This window comes from Homo sapiens, chromosome 22 (assembly GCF_000001405.40).
Source record: "Homo sapiens chromosome 22, GRCh38.p14 Primary Assembly".
Classification (NCBI taxonomy): domain Eukaryota; kingdom Metazoa; phylum Chordata; class Mammalia; order Primates; family Hominidae; genus Homo; species Homo sapiens.
This window is the reverse complement of record NC_000022.11, coordinates 37,876,090-37,893,630: the sequence shown is the minus strand read 5'-3', so window position 1 is coordinate 37,893,630 and position 17,541 is coordinate 37,876,090. Positions and strand designations below refer to the sequence as shown.

At 47.2% G+C, this 17,541-nt stretch overlaps 1 protein-coding gene and 1 pseudogene across 6 annotated transcripts in view, besides 1 other annotated feature; both read right to left on the bottom strand.

Annotated features, from left to right (window-relative positions):
• RNU6-900P (RNA, U6 small nuclear 900, pseudogene) lies at positions 2,183–2,284 on the bottom strand (annotated as a pseudogene).
• The window catches only part of EIF3L (eukaryotic translation initiation factor 3 subunit L), a 39,989-nt gene continuing 26,671 nt past the window's right edge, over positions 4,224–17,541 (bottom strand). For 4 of the 6 annotated variants that reach the window (NM_016091.4, NM_001242923.2, NM_001363785.2 and 1 more), the window contains 3 exons: positions 15,460–15,957; positions 6,786–6,866; positions 4,224–5,205 (listed from right to left, as the gene is read on the bottom strand). In NM_016091.4, the coding sequence (NP_057175.1) occupies positions 5,167–5,205; positions 6,786–6,866; positions 15,460–15,957 (618 nt within the window). In that variant the 3' untranslated portion in view covers positions 4,224–5,166. The remainder of the gene's footprint in view (positions 5,206–6,785; positions 6,867–15,459; positions 15,958–17,541) is intronic. The other 2 variants (XM_006724260.5, XM_047441390.1) reach the window with 1 other exon arrangement.
• Positions 13,394–13,553: a silencer, noted in NCBI's record as "fragment chr22:38276085-38276244 (GRCh37/hg19 assembly coordinates)". NCBI's record gives its function as "represses an EF-1alpha promoter that drives an FKBP-Casp9 reporter gene in an ReSE screen in phorbol 12-myristate 13-acetate-treated (for megakaryocytic differentiation) K562 erythroleukemia cells {active_cell/tissue: K562(+PMA)}" and the evidence as "EXISTENCE:reporter gene assay evidence [ECO:0000049][PMID:32094911]".

The following is a 17,541-nucleotide window of genomic DNA, read 5'->3' as shown; positions in this document are numbered from 1 at the left end:
TACCCAAGTGTTTTAGTAAGGCCCTCCTCCCCTTATCACACACTACTGCCAGGTGATTTGCTAAGAACTTTACATAATTTGGTGCACAGAACAATTCTGAGGCAGGCGCTAACCCCATTTTAGAGAAAGGTGAGGCACTGAAAACTACGCAACTTGGCTCAGCTGGTATGTGGCAGTCAGGACTCAGACCAGGGTCCAAGGAAGTCCAAGCCTACACACTTTGCTCTGCCCCCTTCTCTTGCTGGTGGAGAAACTTCTGGAAACTGGTACCACCCAGAGCTCCCCATTCCCCGATAACAAAGCCCTTGCTCTCCTTAGCATGGGGGGGATCATGAACCTGGTTATTCTGCTCTGATGGAATAAAAATCCTGAGCTGGCCACAGCTGATGAATGCTGTGCATTCCGCGAGTGGTGCCAGGCAGAGTCCAGCTGTGCCTGCCCCCTCACAGGGGTTGCTAGCTGCCTGGCCTGGCTGCTGAGCCTGGACCAAGCTGCTGGGAGATGGCCCCAAGCCAGGCACTCATACACACTGGGTCTGTGTGACCCAGAGTGCCTGCAATGGCCTCACAGCAAAAAGAGTGCCAAGAGCCGTGTCAGACAACACACTTGGACCTGGCATAATTGTAATGATAGAGAACTATGACATGAACTATGAAACTGGCATTGAATTCAAAACACATTAACCCAGGGGGCTGCCCAGTTGAGTCGGAGTTCCTGCAAGCCACCATCACCAAATGTCAGGGCATAGTGGACAAAGCATGAGACATTCTTTAGGAGGAATCAATGCACAGCAACCTCCCTGCACCAAGGAACCATGTGGTAGCCAGGGAGTGGGGGGTAAGGAGCCCTGGCTGGCACTGGGCCACTCATTCGGTTCCAACAAGGCAACAGATGAAGGACGGCTTGGAAAGCTACCAAGAGCTCTACAAATGTTTGGACTTATAACTAGAGGCTGCTTTTTAAAAATTCCTTTGGGCCCGGGCACAGTGGCTCATGCCTATAATCCCAGCATTTTGGGAGGCCAAGGCAGGTGGACTGCTTAAGCTCAGTTCAAGAGCAGTCTGGGCAACATGGCAAAACACCATCTATACAAACAAAACTATAAAAAATTAGCTGGGCATGGTGGTGTATGCCTGTGGTCCCAGTTAATTTGGAGGCTGAGACAGGAGGATCACTTGAGCCCAGGAGGCAGAGGTTGCACTGCAGTGCGCCAAGCTTGTGCCACTGCACTCCAGTCTGGGTAATAGAGCGAAACTCTTGTCCCAAAAAATAAATAAAATCCTGGCTCCATCCTTTAGCTCTGGGAACTTGGACAAGTTCTGCAACCTCTCTGGTGAAGGATGGCTTCCCACCTCACTGAGATTCAAAGTCGGTCCTTCCTGTCTTCTACAAGGCCTTACATACAACCTGGAGCCTCATTCCAGGATCTGGCCTCTTCCTCCTTGCTACCTTCTGCTCCAGCTGGCCTTCTTGCTCCATTTGCTCCACATATAAAACATGCTGTGGCCTCAGGACCTTTGTACTTGCAGTTTTTTTCCTGGAGAGCTCTTGCCTCACATACTTGCACCATCCCCCTCCTAATGTCTTCAGGTCTCTGCTCAAATGACGCCAATCAGTGTGGTCCCTGACTATCCTATTCACAATAGAAACTCCTGCCTTCGATTTTTCTCTACAACACATACCACCATCCAACACACTAAATATGGCTTATCACCTGTCTTCAACCATTAGAATTTGAGTCTGAAGACAGGAATTCGGTCTTTTCCCACGTCCCGACTTCCCCCTTGCCTATCAGTGCCTGGCTGGTTTGCTCGTAGAAAAGGACCCAGCTTTCTGTCCCTGAATCCTCCAATGGCTTGATACACAGGAGGCAATGCATTCAATTCCTGCCTGGGGCTGCTCTATCACAGACTTGGGACTTAAACAACAGAGATTTCTCCTCTTACGGTTCCAGAAGCCACGAGTCCAAAACCAGAGGCTCCAGGGGAGAAGCCATCCCTGCCTCTTCCAGCTCCCAGTGGCCCCGCACATTCTTTAGCTTGTGCCTGCTAACTCCATCAGCCTGTCTTCACGTGGCCTTCTCCTCCTGTCTCTTTCCTCAGTGTCTCTCATGACACTTGTCATTGGATTTAGTGCCTACCTGGATAATCCAGAATGATCTCATTTTTAAAAATGTATTTTTAATACATGGGAACACTTCACAAATTTGCATGTCATCCTTGCACAGGGGCCATGCTAAACTGCATCATTCCAATTTTGGTACATGTGCTGCTAAAGCAAGCACAATGATCTAATTTTGAGATCTTTAACTTACAACCATTAAGACCTTCTTCCAAATAAGGTCATGCTGGCTGGGCACAGTGGCTCACGCCTGTAATACCATCACTATGGGAGGCTGAGGCAGGCAGATCACCTGAGGTCAGGAGTTTGAGACTAGCCTGGCCAACATGGCAAAATACCATCTCTACTAAAAAAATATAAAAATTAGCAAGGTGTGGTCGTGGGTGCCTGTAGTCCCAGCTACTCAGGAGGCTGAGGCAGGAGAAATGGTGCCTGTAGTCCCAGCTACTCAGGAGGCTGAGGCAGGAGAATCTCTTGAACCCAGAAGGTGGAGGTTGCAGTGAGCTGAGATTGCACCACTGCACTCCAGCCTGGGCGACAGAGCGAGATTCCATCTCAAAAACAAAAACAAAAACAAAACAAAGAAGGCCGGGCACTGTGGCTCATGCCTGTAATCCCAGCACTTTGGGAGGCCGAGATGGGTGATCATCTGAGGTCAGGAGTTTGAGACCCACCTGACCAACATGGTGAAACCCAGTCTCTACTGAAAATACAAAAAGCCAGGCGCAGTGGCTCACGCCTATAATCCCAGCACTTTGGGAGGCTGAGGCAGGCAGATCACCTGAGGTCAGGAGTTCGAGACTAGCCTGGCCAACATCGCGAAACCTCGTCTCTATTAAAACTACAAACATTAGCCAGGCGTGGTGGCGTGCACCTGTAGTCCCAGCTACTTGGGAGGCTGAGGCAGGAGAACCGCTTGAACCCCGGAGGCGGAGGTTGCAGTGAGCCGAGATCGCGCCATTGCACTCCAGCCTGGGCAATAAGATCAAAACTCTGTCTCAAAAAAATAAACAAAAATAAAAATACAAAAAATTAGCCAGGCATGGTGGCATGCAACTACTTGGGAGGCTGAGGTAGAATAGCTTGAACCTGGGAGGCAGACGTTGCAGTGAACAGAGATCGTGCCACTGCATGCCAGCCAAACAAATAAGGTCATGCTGATGGCATCCAGGGCTTAGGATATGGACATGTCTTCTTGGGAACCACCATTCAGTTCCCAATAATAATTATCAAACCAATGGGGAAAAAGAGCATACTGAAAAGCTTACGAATTCCAAGTGTGGGGAAACAGTAACTGAACATCCATTATAGGCCAGGCACTGCACTGGGCACTCAAAATAGCATTCTCATTTATTCGTCACCACTGCCCAGTGAGCCAGGTTCTGCTACACTTATTTTTTATTTTTTTTAGACGGAGTCTCGCTCTGTAACCCAGGCTGGGGTCCAGCGGCACGATCTCTTGGCTCACTGCAAGCTCCGCCTCCCGGGTTCACGCCATTCTCCTGCCTCAGCCTCCCGAGTAGCTGGGACTACAGGCGCCCGCCACCACGCCCGGCTAATTTTTTTGTATTTTTAATAGAGACAGGGTTTCGCCATGTTAGCCAGGATGGTCTCGATCTCCTTGACCTTGTGATCCGCCCGCCTCGGCCTCCCAGTGCTGGGATTACAGGCGTGAGCCACCGCGCCTGGCCTGCTAACCTTATTTTATATACAAGGAACCAGGCAGAGATGTGAGACAACTTGCAAGCAGGGGCTTCCAGTCCAAGTACCCACTATAGGGTGACAGGCATAGCATTAATACTGTGGGTAGGCAGGAAACCATTTAGCTCAGCTCCAGCAGCTGCCTAATGTGACCTTGATCAAGTCACTAACTACTGTGGGTTCATTTCCTCATCAATAAGATGAGGAACTACTACTAAACCTGAGTTGTAAGGTGTAAGTAATGTATATGGATCCCTCTTTGCACAGTTCCTGGCAGTAGGAGGTGTTCAATAGTTTCCTTCCAGGACCCAGCACTGCCACAAATATGTCATGAAAATTATAGGTCATTTAAAGTTCATAGGATCTTGTGACGCACAAACAAAATACTGAACGTGAAAATGTCCTGTAAACCAAATATACTGCTTTATGAACAAGAGGGATTTAAGAATTCAATTTAGGGCTGGGCACGGTGGCTCACGCCTGTAATCCCAGTACTTTAGGAGGCAGAGATGGGCAGATCACGAGGTCAGGAAATCTGAGACCATCCTGGCTAACACGGTGAAACCCCATCTCTACTAAAAAATACAAAAAATTGGCCGGGCATGGTGGCGGGTGCCTGTAGTCCCAGCTACTTGGGAGGCTGAGGCAGGAGAATGGCAGGAACCTGGGAGGTGGAGCTTGCAGTGAGCCGAGATCGCGCCAGTACACTCCAACCTGGGCGACAGAGTGAGACTCCGTCTAAAAAAAAACAAAAAGATTTTGAATTTAGGCGGGGCGTGGTGGCTCATGCCTGTAATCCTAGCACATTTTGGGAGGCCAAGGCAGGCGAATCACTTGAGGCCAGGAGTTCGAGACCAGCCTGGCCAACATGGTAAAACCCATCTCTACTGAGAATACAAAAATTAGCTGAGTGTGGTGGCACACGCCTGTAATCCCAGCTACTTGGAAGGCTGAGGCAGAACTGCTTGAACCTGGGCAGCGGAGGATGCAACGAACTGAGATCACGCTACTGCACTCCAGCCTGGGAGACAGAGTGAGACTCCATCTCAAAAGCACAAAATAAAAATAACTCAATTTAAACACTAACAACTGATGTATCCTGAAAGCATCAGGACACATGGGAAATGTATTACTGCCACAACCCACAAATTCTCTCCTACAATAATGAGACGACAAATCTGGCTCCAAAGATCCTTTACTGAGATCCACTTGAAACACTTCGGTCCTTAACTTGTTAACTGAGTTGACAGGCTGATGGCTGATCTAGGTAAAGGTTTCACGGTAGCAAAAACACTTCCTGCCTATAATACATCAAAACAGGTTCCTGAATGTGTGTGAATATCATCAAGGTCTCTGTCCCATCTTCTTCAGGGTTCGATTAAGCTAGAAGAGAAAGAAAAGCAAAGTTACATACGGGGATTTCCCCAACCCCTTTCCTACAGTGTGTATGATCACTAGGTCAGATTCCCAGCTGCCCCTCTGAAGCCAAGAAAGGAAGTTTCTGATGTGGGTGTCCACTATGTGTGTGCAAAGCCGTGACATTCATATGGCCCTGCACAGTTCACGCGGATTATTCTTTTATCTGCCCTTCACACTCAACAAACCCATACACAACACTGCTCTATCCATCTGACAGAAAAAGGATTCAGACTGGCCAGACGTTTCAAGGTTACTAGTTCAGTTAGGGGAAGAATGAGAAGCTTTGAACAGGATCCTTGTTAGAAGACAGCCCTAGCCCACCACCCTGACAGATGTGATCTAAACAGCCAGAAAGTAAAAAGAGCAGCAGGGCTGTTATGATCCTGCAGGAAGAGCCTGACCTCTGCTGGAGAACTCAAAGCACCAGGACACAGTAGCCCTAGCAATGGCCACAAAGAGAGACCCACACCCTTACAGTGTTTGGCCTGACCCACAAGACCTCTCCTAGGGCAAGACAAGGAATGCACCAAGTATGTCAAAACAGAGCTTCCTGTCCTCCAGCCTACAGGAACTAGCCAGACCTGTCTAAGTTGGAAAACAATGCCAAACGGGGAGGGATGGGCAAGAGCAGGCAGTGAATCCACCCATATTAGGAAATACCAGGGAGGGAGAGGAGAGCTGGCCACCCGCAGAGGGAGATCTTGGAAAGAGATGCTCTGGAGAAGGCTGATGCAGCAATTCCTACAGGCCCAACCCCACTCCCCAAACCCCAAGCAGCCAGCCAGTCTAGCTTGAAAATTTAAAGGGCCAACCTCAAGCTTTCTTTTGCAGTGGCATGATCTCTGCTCACTGCAGCCTCCATCTCCCAGGTTCAAATCATTCTCCTGCCTCAGCCTTCTGCGTAGATGGGATTACAGGTGCGCACCACCACACCCAGCTAATTTTTTTAATTTTTAGTAGACATGAGGTTTCACCATGTGGCCAGGCTGGTCTTGAACTCCTGATCTCAAATTCAGCCTCCCAAAGTGCTGGGATTACAGGCATGAGCCACTGCACCTGGCCTCTTTTTCTTTTTTTTTTTTCTTGAGACAGGGTCTTGCTCGGTTGCCCAGGCTGGAGGGCAGTAGGCTTTCTTAATAACAGAAATGAAAAATTTAAAAGGCCAGGCATGGTGGCTCATGCCTGTAATCCCAACACTTTGGGAAGCTGAGACGGACTGGATCACTTGAGGCCAGGAGCTGGAGACCAGCCTGGCCAACATGGTGAAACCCCATCTCTACCATAAATACAAAAATTAGCTGGGTGTGGTGGCACACACCTGTAATTCCAGCTATGCGGGAGGCTGAGGAGGGAGACTCGCTTGAACCCAGGAGGCAGAGGTTGCAGTGAGCTAAGATCACGTCGCTGCACTCCAGCATGGGTGACAGCACAAGACTCCATCTCAAAATAAATAAAGGAATAAAAATTAAAAAAAAGTAAACTCTCGATTCAGTTCCTAAGCTCTGTCCTGAGCCAACAAACCCCTCTTCTCTCAGATCTCTCACCTCCTCAAATTTGTGGATCTGACGGATGAAGAAATCCCCATAACGCCTGGCGACCTTGGTGTCCGCGATGTGGATCATGTCCTGTGGGGGAAAGCACAGTCAGGGAAGAGCAGCCAGGTGGAGGAGCAGGGCCATCTAACCCAGGAGCCACCATGGACTTGCAAGTGATAATGATGGTGAGTGTTAGATGTAAAGGTGGGGAAAAGACCACTGGAAAAACACCACCAGTTAACAGTAACTCACTCTTTCTAGAGAGTTTTTCTTTTCTTTTTTTTTTTGAGATGGAGTTTTGCTCGTCGCCCAGGCTGGAGTGCAATGGCATGATCTCAGCTCACTGCAACCTCCGCCTCCAGGGTTCAAGCAATTCTCTTGCCTCAGCTTCCCAAGTAGCTGGGATTACAGGCTCCCGCCATCTTGCCTGGCTAATTTTTGTATTTTTAGTAGAGATGAGGTTTTACCATGTTAATCAGGCTGGTCTCAAACTCCTGACCTCAGGTGATCCACTCGCCTCAGCTTCCCAAAGTGCTGGGATTACAGGCATGAGCCAATGTGCCCGGCCTAGTTTATATATATTTTTTTTATCAATTCATTTGTACTTTTATTTTCTAGACTTTTTTTTTGTCTTTTATTTTCTAGTCTTTTTTTTTTTTTTGAGATGGAGTCTTGCTCTGTCACTCAGGCTGGAGTGCAGTGGTGCGATCTCGGCTCACTGCAAGCTCCACCTCCCGAGTTCACACCATTCTCCTGCCTCAGCCTCCCGAGTAGCTGGGACTACAGGCACCCGCCACCATGCCTGGCTAATTTTTTTTGTATGTTTTTAGTAGAGACGGGGTTTCACCATGTTAGCCAGGATGGTCTCGATCTCCTGACCTCATGATTCGCCCGTCTTGGCCTCCCAAAGTGTTGGGATTACAGGCGTGAGCCACCGTGCCCAGCCTCGTCTTTTTTATTTTGGGAATAAAGATGTTTATGCTGGCTGGGCATGGTGACTCACGCCTGTAATCCCAGCACTTTGGGAGGTTGGGAATTCAAGACCAGCCTGACCAACATGGTGAAACCCCATCTCTACTAAAAATTAGCTGGGCGTAGTGGCGGGCACCTGTAATCCCAGGAGGGAGAGGTTGCAGTGAGCCGAGACTGCGTCACTGCACTCCAGCTTGGGTGACAAAGTGAGACTCCATCTCAAAAAAAAAAAAAAAAAAAAGTTTATGCTCCTACACTGTTGATAAAATTGCAAATTAGTCCAATCTTTAAGTTTTGTTTTTAGCTGAAAATATTTTGAACACCATTTTACTTTAAAATTTTCTATATCCCCTAGGTTAAGATCTAAGAACGTTCTAAATCTCTGATAGGATTTCTTTCAAGTTAAGAATGAAGAGTCAAAAAGGAAAAAAAAAAGAAGCACTTTGCCAAAGACAAACCTGAACCAGCAACAGAGGAATAACAGTAAAACATGCAATTAAATAATAATCAAATAGCCAATTCTTAGGAGAAATGTTTTGTTAAACTACCCAGATTAGTTGAGAATAGCTAGGCTGGTAATTAAGAGGTGACAGAGGAATGCAGGAGGCTACTATAATTGCCAAAGAACGTATATATGTCAGGTATTGAGAAAAAACTAGGCCAGGCATGGTGGCTCACACCTGCAATCCCAGCACTTTGGGAGGCAGAGGTGGGCAGACTACCCGAGCCCAAGAGTTTGTATTTGAGACCAGGCTGGGCAACATGGTAAAACCCCATCTCTACAAAAAATACAAAAATTAGCAAGATGTGGTGGTGCAGTCCTGTAGTCCCAGCTACTTGAGAAGCTGAGATAGGAGGATCACCTGAGCCCCCGGGAGTTGAGGCTGCAGTGAGCTGTGATTTTGCCACTGCACTCCAGCCTGGACAACTGGAGGATTAAGATGCTATCTTAAAAAAAAAAAAAAAAAAAAAAAAAAAAAAGGCTTGACATGATCCTGGCAAGGGAGAAAGTTTTCTTTATTTTTATTTATTTATATATTTATTTATTTTTAGAGGCAGGGTCTCACTTTGTTACCCAGGCTGCACTGCAGTGGTAAGATCTTAGGTCACTGCAGCCTCAAACGCCTGGGCTCAAGCCATCCTCCTGCCTCAGCGTCCTAAGGCAGGGGCTATAAGGGACTCTCTCCCATAGCTGGGACTACAAGTACACGCTACGAAGCCTGGCTCAGTTTTCTTTGATTTATAAAAGCATGATTTAAAACACTGGAAAACTTCCACTACTGACGTGTTATTACTTTTGGCAAATCTGTTTGTATCGGGCTAGCTAACTTATGGCAAAAACCAAGTCTTCCAGAAGCCATAAAAATGAAATGAGAGTATTTATTTTAAAGCAAAATGAACTTTCAAAAACAAACTACCCAAACTGACCTAGAAATTCCACAACTAGATATATATCTGAAAATTAAAAACATATGTTCACACAATAACTTCTAGATGAATATTCACAGCAGCACTATTCATAAGCCAAAAAGTGAAAAAAGGAACAAAAAACCCCCAAAAACCAAAAACCCCAAATGTGCAACAACAAATGGATAAACAAAATGCAGTACATTAATACATGGGATATTATTCAGCTATAAAAGGAATGTACTGACACATGCTATAATATGGATGAAACTTGAAGACATGCTCAGTGAAAGGACCCAAACACAAAAGTCCATATATTACATGATTCCATTTATCTGAAATGTCAAATGCAGAGAGACCAAAGCAGATTAGGGGTTTGCTAGGGGATGGCAGAAAGGGGGAACTGGGGAACTGCGAGTGACTGCTAGTGGGTAGGGAGTTTCTTTTTGGGGGGACAGAAATGTTTTGGAATTAGACAGTGGAGATGGTTGCAAAACACTGTGAACATACTAATAACCACTGAATTCTTCATTCATTCATTCATTCATTCTATTTATTTATGGAGACAGGGTCTCACTCTGTCACTCAGGCTGGAGTGCAGTGGCATGATCTTGGCTCACTGCAACCTCCACCTCCTAGGCTAAAGCGATTCTTGTGCCTCAGCCTCCCAAGTAGCTGGTATTACAGGCATGCGCCCCCACACTCAGCTAATTTGTGTATTTTTAGTACAGATGGGGTTTCACCATGTTGGCCAGGCTGGTCTTGAACTCCTGGTCTCAAGTGATCTGCCAGCCTTGGCCTCCCAAAGTGCTGGGATTATAGGTGTAAAGCATCACACCTGGCCAAATTGCACATTTTAAAATGGTGAAGTTTATATCCTGCAATTTTTTTTTTTGAGATGGAGTCTCGCTCTGTCGCCCAGGCTGGAGTGCAGTGGCGCGAGCTCTGCTTACTGCAAGCTCCGCCTCCCGGGTTCACACCATTCTCCTGCCTCAGCCTCCCGAGTAGCTGGGACCACAGGCGCCCACCACCATGCCCGGTTAATTTTTTGTATTTTTAGTAGAGACAGGGTTTCACCGTGTTAGCCAGGATGGTCTTGATCTCCTGACCTCGTGATCTGCCTGCCTCAGCCTCCCAAAGTGCTGGGATCATGCAAGTTTTTTTTTTTTTTTTTTTTTTGAGACGGAGTTTCACTCTTGTTGCCCAGGCTGGAGTGCAATGGCACGATCTTGGCTCACTGCAACCTCCACCTCCCGGGTTCAAGCAATTCTCCTGCCTCAGCCTCCGGAGTAGCTGAGATTACAGGCATGCGCTGCCACGTCTGGCTAATTTTGTATTTTTAGTAGAGATGGGGTTTCTTCATGTTGGTCAGGCTGGTCTTGATCTCCTGACCTCAAGTGATCCGCCCACCTTCGCCTCTCAAAGTGTTGGGATTACAGGCGTGAGCCACCATGCCCAGCCTTTTTTTATTTTTTTGAAGTGGAGTCTCGCTCTGTTGCCCAGGCTGGAGTGCAGTGGTGCAATCTTGGCTTACTGCAACCTCCGCCTCCTAGGTTCAAGCAAGTCTCCTGCCTCAGCCTCCCAAGTAGCTGGGACTACAGGCACCCGCCACCACGCCCAGCTAATTTTTGTATTTTTAGTAGAGATGGGGTTCACCATATTGGCCAGGACGGTCTTGATCTCCTGACCTCGTGTTCCGCCTAGCTCGGCCTCCCAAAGTGCTGGGATTACTTGCGTGAACCAACGCGCCCGGCTTATCATGCAAATTATGTATAAAAATTATGTTTTTTTCTTTTTTTGAGACAGTCTCTCACTCTGTTGCCCAGGCTGGAGTGCAGTGGCACAATCTCGGCTCACTGCAGCTTCTGCTTCCCAGGTTCAGGTGATTCTCGTGCCTCAGCCTCCCGAGTAGCTGGGATTACAGGAACGCACCACCATGCCCGGCTAATTTTTTAAATATTTTTAGTAGAGACGGGGTTTCACCATGTTGCACAGGCAGGTCTTGAACTCCTGACCTCTGATGATCTACCCACCTTGGCCTCCCAAAGTGATAGGATTACAGGTATGAGCCACTGCACTCAGCCTAAAATTATGTATTTTTAAGAACTGCTCAAAAAGTGCTATTTCCAACAATACATTTAGACCAAAATGCTTTTTCTCTTTTTTTCAAGATGCAGTCTCATCTCTGTCACAAAGGCTGGAATGCGGTGGCTTGATCTCAGCTCACTGCAACCTCTGTCTCTTGGGCTCAAGTGAGTCTCCTGTCTCAGCCTCCCAAGTTACTGGGATTACAGGCATGTGCCACCATGCCTGGCTAATTTTTATATTTTTAGTAGAGACAGGGTTTCACCATACTGGCCAGGATGGTCTTGATCTCCTGACCTCAGGTGATCCACCCGCCTTGGCCTCCCAAAGTGCTGGGATTACAGGCGTGAGCCATCATGCCCAGCATGCTTTTTCTCTTTTTAAAAAGTAGAGACAGGGTCTTGGTTTGTTGCCCAGGTTGGTCTTGAACTCCTGGGCTCAAGCAATTCTCCTGCCTCGTCCTTCCAGAGTATTGGGATTATAGCTATAAGCCACTGTACCTGGCCCAAAATGCTTTCAAAAACAATTAAAAATGCAGGATATTAGAAAAAAACTTACAGCATCAAAGAGCTGACAAGATAGTAACAGAACATTTTGGGAAAAAAGAAACCATTCTAAGAAAAGCACAGAAGACCCCCTCTGCCCTATGGACATTTGCTGATCTTAGAAAACCTGGGCTGACGGCCGTGTGTGGTGGCTCATGTCTGTAACCCCAGCACTTTGGGAGGCCGAGGCGGGCAGATCACCTGAGGGCGGGAGTTCGAGACCAGCCTGACCAAGACGGAGAAACCCTGTCTCTACTAAAAATACAAAATTAGCTGGGCATGGTGGCGCATCCCTGTACATCCCAGCTACTCGGGAGGCTGAGGCAGGAAAATCGCCTGAACCCGGGAGGCAGAGGTTCCGGTGAGCCAAGATTGTGCCATTGCACTCCAGCCTGTGCAACAAGAGCAAGACTCAGTCTAAAAAAAAAGAAAACAATTCTTTTAAAAACCTCATCAGCTCATCAGCGCCTGTAGTCCCAGCTAATCAGGAGGCTGAGACAGAAGGATTGCTTGAACCCAGGAGGCGGAGGTGGCAGTGAGCCAAGATCACATCACTGCACTACAGCCTGAGTGATACAATGAGACTCTGTCTCTAAATAAATAAATAAAAATGAAAATCTCATCAGACATTAAAATGTCCAGCTTGAACTTAAAAGTGCCAGTGAAAACTAACACTGTTCTTCAACCCACCTCCCCTCCTGAGAGGAAGCTACTGCTATGTTGCTTGTGTATCCTTCTGGAAAGAACTTGAGGCATACATAGGCATATATAAATGTATTACTAGCCACTCTGTAAAAACCTTACTTGTATTTTTTGTAATATACAAACCATCCAAACGTTAATCAATGGGAGAATGGATAAACTGCAGTACAATAACAACAGCAGATGCTGGACTATCACAGAACAATAAACATGAAGGAATCACTGCTACACACAATGGACGGTGACTCACTCAATTATAACGTTGAGCAAAAGAAGCCAGACTTAAAGAGTACATACTGTGTAATTCCATTATATAAAGTTCACAAACAGGCAGCACTAATCCAAGATGTTAGACATCAGGACAGGACAGGCGCAGTGGCTCACACCAGTAATCCCAGCATTTTGGGAGGCCAAGGTAGGAGGATCACTTGAAACTAGCCTGGGCAACAAAGTGAGACCCTGTTTCTATAAAGTAAAAACTTAAAATCGGCTGGGAACAGTGGCACATATCAGAGTTCGAGACCAGGCTGGGCAACATGGCCAAACCCCATCTCTACTAAAAATACCAAAAATTAGCCAGTCGTGGTGACGTGCGCCTGTAATCTCAGCTACTTGGGAGGATGAGGTAGGACAATCACCTGAACCCAGGAAGTTGAGGCTGCAGTGAGCTGAGATCACACCACTGCACTCCAGCCTGGGCAACCAGAGTGAGACCTTGTCTCAAAAAAGAGAGCCGGATGCAGTGGCTCACGCCTGTAATCTCAGCACTTTGGTAGGCCGAGGTGGGTGGATCACGAGGTCAGGAGATTGAGACCATCCTGGCTAACACAGTGAAACCCCGTCTCTACTAAAAAATACAAAAAATTAGCCAGGTGTGGTGGCGGGTGTCTGTAGTCCCAGCTACTCGGGAGGCTGAGGCAGGAGAATGGCGTGAACCTGGGAGGTGAAGCTTACAGTGAGCTGAGATCGCGCCACTGCACTCCAGCCTAGGCGACAGAGCGAGACATCTCAAAATAAAATAAAATAAAATAAAAATAAAATAATACCGGGCGCGATGGCTCACGCCTGTAATCCTAGCACTCTGGGAGGCCGAGGCGGGCGGATCACAAGGTCAGGAGTTGGAGACCAGTCTGGTCAACATAGTGAAACCCTGTCTCTACTAAAAATACACAAAATATTAGCTGGGTGTGGTGGTGTGAGCCTGTAATCCCAGCTACTCAGGAGGCTGAGGCAAGAGAATCGCATGAACCCGGGAGGCAGAGGTTGCAGTGAGCCAAGATCGTGCCACTGCACTCCAGCCTGGACGACAGAATGACACTCCATCTCAAAAAAAAAAAAAAAGCTTTGTGCAGTGGCAGTATGGCCAATGAGGGTTATGTGAGGTGTGATTATTGCTAACTAAAAATAAAAAAATAAAGAAGGCAGCAGGACAATGGCTTCCCACTTGTAAAGTACTCCAACAGTATACAAAGCACCATCCCCCTTTCTCCAATCTCATCTTCACAGCCTCCTTTCTCAGGCTACTCGGGCATACTACAACTGTCCCTTAAACTTATTGGCCTCACTCCTCTTCGGGGCCTTTGCTCTAACTGTTCCTCTGCCTGGAAGGCTCTTCCTCCAGATATCTGGTGAGCTATTTTTTTTTTTTTTGAGACGGAGTGTCGCTCTGTTGCCAGGCTACAGTGCAGTGCAGCGATCTCAGCTCACTGCAACCTCCGCCTCCTGGGTTCAAGTGATTCTCCTGCCTCAGCCTCCCGGGTAGCTGGGACTACAGGTATGCGCCACCATGCCCAGCTAATTTATTTTTAGTAGAGATGGGGTTTCACCATGTTGGCTAGGATGGTCTTGATCTCTTGACCCCATGATCTGTCCATCTCGGCCTCCCAAAGTGCTGGGATTACAGGCATGAGCCACCGTGTCCAGCCTTTGGTGAGCTATTAAGAACTCTCCACCAGATGGATCGCTTCAGGTCAGGAGTTTGAGACTAGCCTGGCCAACATGGCAAAACCCTGTCTCTACTAAAAATACAAAAATTAGCCAGGTGTGGTGGCGGCCTCTTATAATTCCAGCTACTCAGGATGCTGAGGCAGGAGAATTGCTTGAACCTGGGAGGCGGAGGTTGCAGGGAGCCGAGATTGCACCACTGCACTCTAGCCTGGGCGACAGACCAAGACTGTCAAAAAAAAAAAAAAAAAAACCAAAACACTACTCCCTCACCTCCTTCAAGTCTTAGCTTAGCTTAAACTTCACTTTCTCAACAAAGCCTGTCTGAACACCGTATTTAACATTGCAACCTGTGCTTCCCACCACCTCTGCCTTCCTTTACTCTGCAGTGCTTGGCAACTTCTTACTACATAGTTTGTTTAATTATAACATCTATTGTTTAATTATAACATCTATTGTTGGTAATCCCAGCACTTTGGGAGGCCAAGGCTGGCTGATCACCTGAGGTTGGGAGTTTGACACCAGACTGACCAACATGGAGAAACCCCATTTCTACGAAAAATACAAAATTAGCTGGGCATGGTAACACATGCCGGTAATCCCAGCTACTCAGGAGGCTGAGGCAGGAGAATGGCTTGAACCTGGGAGGCGGAGGTTGCGGTGAGCCGAGATCGTGCCATCACATTCTAGCCTGGGCAACGAGAGCGAAATTCCATCTCAAAAAAAAAACCAAAACAAAACCATCTATTGTTTATCTCTTGTGTTTTTTTTTTTTTTTTTTTAATAGAGAAAAGGTCTCACTACGTTGCCCAGGCTGGTCTTGAACTCCTGGGCTAGAGTGATCCTCCCACCCCAGCCTCCCCTAAAGTACTAGTATTACTGGCATGAGCCACCACACCTGGCACCTTGTGGCAGCACCACAAGGCCAGGAATCTTTTTGTTCCCCGATATACTTCATGTGCCCACAATAGTGAATGAAAGATACTGAACACTTAATACAAGACCCCAAGCCCAGGGGACAGGCATACCTTATCAATGTAGAAGTCAACCTCTGAGGCTGACTGAAATTCACCATCCAGGGCTGAGATACCGCTGGTCCACACGAGGTTCTTCATCTTGTGTTTGAAGACAAGAAGCTGGATCCGGAACTCCTGCTCTGTGAGGTCCAGGAAGCCAGCCAGCTTGGCCACAGGCATGGTGGTGTAGAGCTTCAGGAAGCTGCGGATGGTTGAAAGCTGGGCCTGCTGCTGTACTTCATCAGAAAACACCTTCAGCTGCTGCAGGAAGGGCTCTTTGTGGTAGTTGGGGTGCACATTATCATAGTTGGGCACTACAGGCGACAGGAACTTGGGGCAGGAGTAACTGAAAAGTTCTTCATAGACTTGTGGGTCACCTTTCTGCATGCGCAACATCTTGTCCCCATATTTCTCCCGCAGCTGGAGGTGAATGCTCTCATCAATACGCATGGGGTACATCGTGAGGGCAATGGCCAGCAGCGCATGCATCTGCTCATTCTGCTTGTTAATCTGGGGATGGGGTGGAGAGTGGTACTGGGTCAAATGAGACGGACTTCCTGAGGTCCCCACTGCCAACTGGCCTCACCATTCTCTGCACAGATCTTTGACTTACCCAGTTGTTTCATACCAGCCATTGAACTTCCCCAACATCTCTTCCAATCCTCCCTCTAGATCTACCTAACTTCCATCCTAGCTCCAGATCCTCCTTAGCCATCTTCTGGATTCCTTACTGGCACCTCTGTCTTAGTCTCTCCAGTTTGTCCCACACATCACTAGCAGGTCAATCCTTTTACACAGTTAGGATCGAGTTACCCAAAACCTTTGATGCAACCTTGATGACGACAGAAATATAGACTAAATAGTAATGTGCCGTGCAACAGCGTTTCAGTCAACAACGGGCCATGGGCCACATATAGGATGGTGATCCTGCAAGATTATAATCCTGTATTTTTACTGTATCTTAGATACACAAATACCTTTGTGTTACAACTGCCTATGGTATTCAGTACAGTAATATGTTCTAGACGTTTGTAGCCAAGGAGCCATAGGCTATACCATGTAGCCCGGGTATGTAGTAGGTTATCCCATCTAGGTTTGTGTAAGTACATTCTATGATGTTCACACAACAAAATCACCAAATGATGCATTTCTCAGAATGTATCTGCAGCATCAAATGACACAGGACTATACTTTACCTGGGTTAATGAAGGTTCTCAGAATCTAATAACCCAATTCCTACTACCTACTTGCCCTCCAGCCAGAACAGTTTATTGTGCGGCTGCATCACCACACTTTCAAGTCTCAACCACTTTGCTCATGATATTCTCTGCCTAGGAAGCTCCTCCCAATTCTTGAACCCATCCTCCTTCCCACCAATATCCACACCTTATATCAAAACATTTAGAACCCAGTGAACACTCAGCATACTGATGCTGAATAAATAAATGTAGGCACTGCTGGAGGATATAACTGAAACAAAAGATATTATCATCAAGTCCTTATCATCAAGATGTTAATGATCTGAGGTAACAGGCATCACAACAGAAACTCCTAAGAGTATGCTAGCCATTAAAAGTTCATTTTGGCTGGGCGTGGTGGCTCACGCCTGTAATCCCAGCACTTTGGGAGGCTGAGGTGGATGGATCGCCTGAGGTCAGGAGTTCGAGACCAGCCTGGCCAAATAGTGAAACCCCATCTCTACTAAAAATACAAAAATTAGCTGGACATGGTGGCACGCGTCTGTAGTCCCAGCTACTCAGGAGGCTAAGGCTGGAGAATCACTTGAACCCAGGAAGCGGAGGTTGCAGTGAGCTGAGATTGCACCACTGTACTCCAGCCTGGGTGACAGAGACTTCGTCTCAAAAAAAAAAAAAAAAAAAAAAAAAAATTAGCCGGTGTTGTTGTGTGCGCCTTTAAGCCCAGCTATTCGGAAGACTAAGGTAGGATGATCGCCTGATCCCAGGAGGTTGAGGCTGACGTGAGCTGTGACTGCGTCACTGCACTCCAGCTGGGTGATCTATTAGTAGGCACAATCACAGAGCGCTCTACAGTCTTGAACTCCTGGCTTAAAAGTGCAATATTTTGGATGGTGTT